The sequence below is a fragment of the Homo sapiens genome, chromosome 14 (genome assembly GCF_000001405.40).
Source record: "Homo sapiens chromosome 14, GRCh38.p14 Primary Assembly".
In the NCBI taxonomy this organism is placed as follows: domain Eukaryota; kingdom Metazoa; phylum Chordata; class Mammalia; order Primates; family Hominidae; genus Homo; species Homo sapiens.
In genome coordinates, this window is record NC_000014.9 from 52,697,523 (window position 1) to 52,706,981 (window position 9,459).

Genomic DNA, 9,459 nt, shown 5'->3' on the forward strand with positions numbered 1-9,459 from the left:
GACATGTAGTAAAAGTCAACAACCCATCTGAGATCCTGATGGACCTGAGAAGCTCTAATTCTAGTATCTACAACATGTCACATGTACATATTAATACAATCTCCCTCCTAACCTGAAAGCTTTTTTTTTTTTTTTTCTTTTTCTTTTTTTTTTTTTTTTTGAGATAGATTCTCACTCTGTCGCCAGGCTGGAGTGCAGTGGCGCAATCTTGGCTCACTGCAAATCCAGCTCCTGGGTTCAAGTGATTCTCCTGCCTCAGCCTCCTGAGCAGCTGGGACTACAGGCGCGTGCCACTACGCCCAGCTAAGTTGTTTGCATTTTTAGTAGAGACAGGGTTTCACCATGTTAGCCAGGATGGTCTCAACCTCCTGACCTCGTGATTCGCCTGCCTTGGACTCCCAAAGTGCTGAGATTACAGGCGTGAGCCACCGCACCTGGCCAAAAGCTCTTTTTCATATTCCTATATACAGGCCCCAGTTATCCTTTTTAGGGCCAGACCCAGGTCATGTTCTCCCTGTCTTAAGTCGTCTTCCTGGTTTCCTCCTAACCCAGTTCCAGTCTCTCAATGATTTCAATTCAGTAAACTTACTCTGTGACAAGCTGAGCTTGACATTTGGGATACAAAGATGTATAAGGTCCAGTTCCTACACTTGGAGAGACATCCATGGAACTTAGTATGTACTTTTTAAAAAATATTTAATTGACAAATAATAATTGTGTATATTTATAGGATACAATGGGATGTTTTGATCTATGCATACATTGTAGAAAGATTAAATAAAGCTTATTAACAGATACATTGCCTCACCAACTTTTCATTTTTCATTGATGAGAACATTAAAAAATTATTCTTTTAGCAATTTTGCAATTCTTATTAACTGTGGTCACCATGCAGTGCATTAGATCACTAAAACTTATTCCTGCAGTCTAACTGAAACTTTGCACTTTGACCAACATCTCCCCTTTCCCCATCCTCCCTGCCCACCGGCCTCTGGTGACTACCTTTCTACTGTTTCTATGAGATAAACTTTTTTAGATTCCACATGTAAGTGAGATTATGTGGTAATTGTTTTCTTGTGCCTGGCTTATTTCACTTGGTATCATGGCCTCTAGGTTAATCCATATTGTCACAAATTACAGAATTTCCTTTTTTTTTTTTTTTTTGAGACGGAGTCTCGCTCTGTCACCCAGCCTGGAGTGCAGTGGCACGATCTCGCTCACTGCAAGCTCCGCCTCCCGGGTTCACGCCATTCTCCTGCCTCAGCCTCCCAAGTAGCTGGGACTACAGGCGCGCCCGCCACCACTCCCGGCTAATTTTTTTGTATTTTTAGTAGACACGGGATTTCACCATGTTAGCCAGGATGGTCTCGATCTCCTGACCTCGTGATCCGCCCGCCTCGGCCTCCCAAAGTACTGGGAATAATTTCCTTCTTTATGGCTGTATAGTAGGCATATATATACAAGATTCTCTTTATCCATTCATCTGTCGATGAACACTTAGGTTGTTCCTATATCTTGGCTATTGTAAATAATGCAGAAATGAACATGGGAGTATAAGAAACAAATCAATGTTATGAAAATAGTCTGATTTTTAAAAAGCAGCAAAGGTTCTGAACAGTTATTTTTCAAAAAAAGACATACAAATAGCCAACAGGTATAGGAAAAAAATGCTTAATATCTCTAATCATCAGGGAAATGCAAATTAAAGACACAATGAGATGTCACCTTACACCTGTTAGAATGGCTATTGCCAAAATGATGAATGATAACAGGTGCTGGAAAGGATGTGGAAAAATGGAAACACTTGTACACTGTTGGTGGGAATGTAAATTAGTACAGCCATTTTGAAAAATAGTATGGAGGTTCCTCAAAAAACTAAAAATAGGCCGGGCACGGTGGCTCACACCTGTAATCCCAGCACTTTGGGAGGCCGAGGCAGGCAGATCATGAGGCCAGGAGATGGAGACCATCCTGGCTAACACGGTGAAACCCCGTCCCTACTAAAAATACAAAAATTAGCTGGGCGTGGCAGCACGTGCCTGTAGTCCCAGCTACTCTGGAGGCTAAGGCAGGAGAATTGCTTGCACCTGGAAGACAGAGGTTACAGTGAACCGAGATCGCGCCACTGCACTCCAGCCTGGGCAACAGAGCGAGACTCCATCTCACAAAACAAAGCAGACAAAAAAAAAACACACACACAACTAAAAATAGAATTACCATATGATCCAGCAATCCCACTTCTGGGTGTATATACAAAGGTATTAAAATTGGCGTGTCAGACTGGGCATGGTGGCTCACGCCTGACCCAGCACTTTGGGAAGCTGAGGCGGGCAGATCATTTGAGGTCAGGAGTTCAAGACCAGCCGGACCAACATGGTGAAACCCCGTCTACACTAAAAATACAAAAAATTAGCCAGGCATGGTGGTGTGTGCCTGTAGTCTCAGCTACACGGGAGGCTGAGGTGAGAGAATTTCTAGAACCTGGGAGGCGGAGGTTGCAGTGAGCTGAGATCATGCCATTGTACTCCAGCCTGGGTGACAGAGCGAGACTCTGTCTTAAAAATAAAAATAAAATTTGTATGTCAAAGAAATATCTGCACTCCCATGTTCATTTCAGCATTAGTATATAATCTTTTATGATATTTTCTACTTCATATTTCTTCACTGAATTGTAACATCTTTAAACTTCTTGAGCAGGGATTGTGTTTCAAATGTCCCTGAGACTCCCAGAGATCCTTAACAAGGATCTTGTCTTTGTACATGTTCGTGGAATAAATGAAAATCTTTCACTGGCCACAGTACTAATAAATGAAGATTAGGCCATCAAAAATGAGAAACACAATAAGAAAAGAGGAAATTAATAAAGCCTATGATTTTAGAAGGAAGCAATCTGAATATGAATCAGCTTAACATTTTACCCTAATGCAATGACCTGTAACCTGGGGGAGCTTAAAAATGTCAGTGTTCTCATGATAGAAATTATTTTCCATAAAACTCAAACTCTTTCCCAGAATAAATTTCTAGCAAACTTAGAAAAAGTATCCACTTTTTTTACCTTATTGTCTAGATAATTATAATGTTTTGTTTCAGATTTGTAAGCGATTTTAGAATAAGTAAATACAGTTTTATGTGTGTGATGTGAATATCACTGAAGTGTCCATGAGAATCTTTCAGGCCAGAAGGAAACTCCCTTTGCATGAGTTTGCTTCTTCAAATATACCTGCTCAGGCAATCGTCTCACCTGTGTTAGAGGCCATGAAATCACTGATTAGTCATTCATTAACTATTTAAAGAGCACCCACAGGGTACATAGATCAACCTTTGATTTCTGAAAGCCCAACTTCCCATTCATTACAACTTTGCTAAACAACATTAAATTTTTTAGAGATGAACAAGGTCACAAACTTGTTTTTCTAATACTAGTGATTATAACAATAACATGACTTAGATTTAATGCACACAGCATTTCCTGATGGAATTCTGATTACTGTGTAAATAACAGCGACTATTTTTTTTTTTATGACCAAAGCAGGAAATGGCTTGAGTCCAGTGTCTCAAAATGGTATGTGGGGATTTCTGTGGGAAGCTTCTCAGTACCCATACAATTTCTGTCATTGAATAGACTGGAAGAAAACAATTTAAAGGAAATAAATTAGTACAAAGAAAGGCTAAGTAAAAACCTAATGGGTTTAGTGCTGATATTTTTATTAGAATCATTCCTGTCATTAATATTTACTGAATATGGTTGCACACGTGGTACATTACTAGACATTTGTCTCAAGGTGCTTAGAATCATCTGAAGGGGGAAGACATGACACGTAACATCTTCACCTTCTTTACCTCAAATTCCTGAAAGCAAGCTGTATGCAGTCACTGACTTCACTTATCATTCACTCCTCAACTTCCCACTCACATTTTAACCCATGATGCAGTCTGGTTTCCAGCTCTACTCCCCTGAAACTCCTCTTTACATGGCCTTCCTATTGCCCAACCCAATGACCAATTTTCATGAAATCTCTGCTGCATTCTGACAATGCTGATTCCTCTCTCCTTCAATTCGATTTCCTGCACTCCAGCCTGGACAACAAGAGCAAGACTCTGTCTCAAAAAAAAAATGTGTTTTTTTTTTTTTTGAGACAGAGTCTCGCTCTGTCACCCAGGTTGGAGTGCAGTGGCGTGATCTCGGCTCACTGTAAGCTACGCCTCCTGGGTTCATGCCATTCTCCTGCCTCAGCCTCCCGAGTAGCTGGGACTACAGGCGCCTGCCACCACACCCGGCTAATTTTTTGTATTTTTAGTAGAGATGGGGTTTCACCGTGTTAGCCAGGATGGTCTCAATCTCCTGACCTCGTGATCCGCCTGCCTCAGCCTCCCGAAGTGCTGGGATTACAGGTGTGAGCCACCGTGCCCGGCCAAAAAAAAATTTTTTAATAAAGCAAATAGTATACTGCTTGACATACATAGCCCCACAATGACACAAATATTGGATAGCAATTTAACCAAAATTTACATATATTGCATTCATGGAGGATGCAAGTAGGAAAAGTGGGAGTCTGGAGTAAGGGTGCTAAATCTTTATCTTCCTAATTTGGTCAGAAGATAAATCCCAAAATTTATATATCAAGAAATAGCAGCATAAGGATATTATTTAGAAATACAAAGGTAAGTATAGTAGAAACACATTTAAAAATTAAGGGAGTGGAACTCGGGATTAGAGAAAAGTGAGACAATAGGCACCTCTTTTTCAATTTAATCTTTAGTACTTTTTTTAAAAGCTCTCTTTATGGTATTACTTTATTAAAAGCACACCCCAGAAGCCTAGAAACTCTAACTTCTTCATTTATTTTTTTATTTTATTTTTATTATTATTTGAGTTGGAATCTTGCAGTGTCTCCCAGGCTGGAGTATAGTGGCAAGATCTTGGCTCCAGAGACTGCAACCTCTGTCTCCCAGGTTCAAGCAATTATCCTACCTCAGCCTCCTGAGTAGCTGGGATTACAGGCATGTGCCACCACTTCTGGCTAATTTTTTTGTATTTTTAGTAGAGACGGGGTTTCACCATGTTGGTCAGACTGGTCTTGAACTCCTGACCTCAAATGATCCACCTGCCTCGGCCTCCCAAAGTGCTGGGATTACAGGCATGAGCCACCATGCCCGGCCTGAACTCTAACTTCTATTCCTACCTCAACATCTCACTGCTTAGACACAGACACATTAATTTAAGTGCATTTTCTTTCTTTTTTTCTTTTCTTTTCTTTTTTTTTTTTTTTTTTTTGAGATAGAGTTTCACTCTGTCGCCCAGGCTGGAGTGCAGTTGCGCAAACTCGGCTCACTGCAACCTCCACCTCCTGGGTTCACGCCATTCTCCTGCCTCAGCCTCCAGAGTAGCTGGGACTACAGGCGCCCGCTATCACACCCGGCTAATTTTTTTGTATTTTTTAGTAGAGACGGGGTTTCACCACGTTAGCCAGGATGGTCTTGATCTCCTGACCTTGTGATCCACCCGCCTCAGCCTCCCAAAGTGCTAGGATTATAGGTGTGAGCCACTGCGCCTGGCCTAATTTAAGTGCATTTTCATAGGTATTTGGAAGTAGACATTTGGGATGAAAAATTTCTAAAAACTTAAGTGTTGTGGCCAATGTGGGAGCAAAAGTAGTTGCTACTTGCCTATTTGACACTGTTTCCCAATTTTTCTCTTAAAAATAAATCTGTTCTTGTTGTATTTGTTATCGATCACTGTGTAACAAATTACCCCAAAACTAAGTGGCTTCAAACAACAAACATTTATCATCTCATGGTTTTTAGGGACCAGCAATTCAGGAGCAGCTGAACTGAGTTGTGTGACTCAGTCTCTCATGGTGTTGCAATCAATACTAGGGCTGCAGTAATAAAGGCTTGCCTAGAGCCGGAGGATCTCTGCCAGGAACTGCTCACTCATATGGCTGTTGGCAGGAGGCCTTAAGTTCCTGGATGGCTGTTCCTTGCTATGTAGGTCTCTCCATAGATCTGTTGATGTGTCCTCATGCCATGACAACTGGCTCTCCCACAGGGAGTTATCCAAGCGAGAGTCAAAAGGAAGGCTCAACACTTTTTGTGATCTAGTCTCCATCGTTGCGCACTGTCACTTCCACTTTATTTATCAAGAGCAAGTCACTAGGTCCAAGGAAGGGGAATTATGCTCCACCTCTTGAAGTGGAAAGTGTCAAATAATTTGTGTACATATTTTAAAATGACCACACTCATCTGTGCCAAGTTATAGGAAAATAGATTGAGAAACTATCCTTACATGATTTTTGAAGGTCTACATCAATCTCATTACCGTTTGTTATGACATCACTTTTAATGACTCCGAAATAAACTAAGATATGCCCTACCTTCTTTTATCTCTTCCACCCTATATGTTCTAATTTTCATTTTTTGGTCACATTTGTATTTTTCTGTTTTCACTTTATGATATTTTAAGTTCCTTGAGTACTGGTCACATTTCTTAGCCTCTTTATAACTCTGCTTACCTATCTTAGTGCCTGAGATATTCATTCATTCAATATACATATATCTCTTTTATTTCAGACACTGTGCTAGACACTGGGGATCCAATCAGGGGAAATAAATAGTCATAGTCCTTGTTTTCCGAGGGGTTACAGTCCACTGCAGAGAAAAGACTCTAAACATTTAATCACGTTTAAGAATATATAATTACAAGTTGAGCTACGTTTTCAGATGGAGAGGAATACAGTCTTATAGGCATGTATAAAAACGTAACGGCCAGGCGCGGTGGCTCACACCTGTAATCCCAGCACTTTGGGAGGCTAAGGCGGGTGGATCACCTGAGCTCAGGAATTTAAGACCAGCCTGACCAACATGGTGAAACCCCATCTCTACCAAAAATACAAAAATTAGTCGGGTGTGGTGGCGCATACCTGTAGTCCCAGCTACTCTGGAAGCTGAAGCAGGAGAATCCCTTGATCCCGGGAGGCGGAGGTTGCAGCAAGCCGAGATCGCACCACTGCACTCCAGCCTGGGCGACAGAGCGAGACTCCTGCTCAAAACAAAAAACAAACAAACAAACAAAAAAGTAACAGGGCTAGTGTAGGCATGGGGAAAATAGAAGATTCTTCTGAAGTTGAAATGCTGCCAGATGGGTAAAAGAAAAAGAACAAGGGTTAAGGGACTTTAAAATATTGATGTGATTAATGTTAAAATAACCTATCAGTATGTGCTCATAAATATTTTAAATTGAGCCATACTGAGCTTTCTTTCTCTGCCTTGTCCTCTCTTCTTTACTTCTTGATGTCAGAGGTGACATGTTTTGGTATGGATGGACTAGTTTGACCAGAGTAGTTGCAACTGAGTGGGAGAAGGGACTATCCCTGCCCCATACAGCTTCCTTGTTCATTGTATACTGCAAGAACCCAGTCACATTTAGAAAAATTGGCCGAACGCGGTGGCTCATGCCTGTAATCCCAGCACTTTGGGAGGCCGAGGCGGGCGGATCACGAGGTCAGGAGATCGAGACCAGCCTGACCAACATGGTGAAACCCTGTCTCTACTAAAAATACAAAAATTAGCTGGGCGTGGTGGTGTGCGCCTGTAATCCCAGCTGTTCGGGAGGCTGAGGCAGGAGAATCACTTGAACCCGGGAGGTGGAGGTTGCAGTGAGCCGAGATCGCGCCACTGCACTCCAGCCTGGCGACAGAGCAAGACTCCAACTCAAAAAAAAAAAAAAAAAAAAAAAAAAAAAAGAAAAATAGAATGGAATATTCACACAATACCCATGAGAATTGTTCCTAATAAATTTGAAGGCATCCTTTATGTGACTTTGGGTCATTAATTTACAAAAATTTGTACTTTATTTGTATATTTAGGATGTATATATTTAAACTCAAACATTCATGGCCATTGGATAAGGTGAGACCAAATGGAATCTATTTGGAGAATTTTACTCATGTTTTTTGGACAACAATTAATTGTCCCCAGGAACAATGATAGCAAGAGGTATAGCAATGAGGACCTGTAATGCAAAAATTGGAGTCATTACTACCCTTAAAATAAATATCTATTCAAAAGAACACTATTGAGTACATGCCATGTGGCAGATGTTGTGTTTAGGCACATTATCCTATTTAATACTCATGACAACCCCATTAGATAAGTGCAATTATTATGATCATTTTACAGAGATATTGAGGGAGTATGTAATTTTCCCCAAATCACAAAAATCTGAAAGTTGGCCAGGCGTCGTGGCTCACGCCTGTAATCCCAACACTTTGGGAGGCTGAGGCGGGCGGATCACTTGAGGTCAGTAGTTGGAGACCAGCCTGGCCAACATGGTGAAACCCCATTCCTACTGAAAATACAAAAATGAGCCGGGCGTGGTGGCGGGCGCCTGTAATCCCAGCTTCTCAGGAGGGTGAGGCACGACAATCGCTTGAACCCGGGAGGCAGAGGTTGCAGTGAGCCAAGATCGCACCACTACACTGCAGCCTGGGTGACAGAGTGAGACACAGACTCAAAAAAAAAAAAAAAAAAAAAAAAATCTGGCCGGGCGCAGTGCCTCACACCTGTAATCCTAGCACTTTGGGAGGCTGAGGAGGGTGGATCACCTGAAGTCAGCAGTTCGAGACCAGCATGGCCAACATGGCGAAACCCCGTCTCTACTAAAAATACAAAAATTAGCCGGTTGTGGTGGCGCACACCTGTAATGCCAGCTACTCCGGAGGCTGAGGAAGGAGAATTGCTTGAACCCGGGAGGTGGAGGTTGCAGTGAGCTGAGATCGCGTCACCGCTCCAGCCTGTGCGGCAGGAGCAAGACTCCATCTCAAAAGTAAATAAATAAATACATAAATCTGAAGGTTCTATCAGACTTCAAAGTTCCTGCCTCAGCCTACTTCAGCATCTTTATCTTGTACCCCACATCTCTACAACCCACCCCCTACTGGTCTCATTGGCCTCCTTTCTGTTCCTGGAAGTGAGTCAAGCTTTCTACCCACAACCCCCACCCCACTCCACTCCAGGACTTGCACTGTTTGTTTAGGTTTTCTTCAGTTGTTGCAAGGCTGGCTCCTTCTCATCTCAGATATCTGTTCTAGATTAATTCTTCCCACCATACTTCTCACCGTGTTTTAATTCCTTCACAGTATTTGTTAAACTCTGAAGTTTTTTTTATTATTATTTCCTATCAAATGATAAGCAGATCTACCTTTAATACCTCATTCACTGACTGAATGGATGAATAAAACTGTCTACTTCTCCAGCACGTGGAGGTCTTGGACAGTACTGTGTTATAACAAAGGCCATCTGTGTTGTGTCGACAGGCCATCGGAACTCCTTTGAGGTATTACACATTTCCTACTTCACTTCCATCTCAGTTTATTACAGAGCCTTTTATACTTCCGGGACAGCAGTGACTTAATACTGAGGCCTCTCAGGGGAAGACCGGGATAACTGAGTCCTGCTTTA

At 41.9% G+C, this 9,459-nt stretch overlaps 2 annotated features.

The window, feature by feature from the left end:
* Positions 9,229–9,338: an enhancer, noted in NCBI's record as "active region_8392". NCBI's record gives its function as "activates an Ori minimal core promoter by ATAC-STARR-seq in GM12878 lymphoblastoid cells {active_cell/tissue: GM12878}" and the evidence as "EXISTENCE:reporter gene assay evidence [ECO:0000049][PMID:35858748]".
* Positions 9,359–9,418: an enhancer, noted in NCBI's record as "active region_8393". NCBI's record gives its function as "activates an Ori minimal core promoter by ATAC-STARR-seq in GM12878 lymphoblastoid cells {active_cell/tissue: GM12878}" and the evidence as "EXISTENCE:reporter gene assay evidence [ECO:0000049][PMID:35858748]".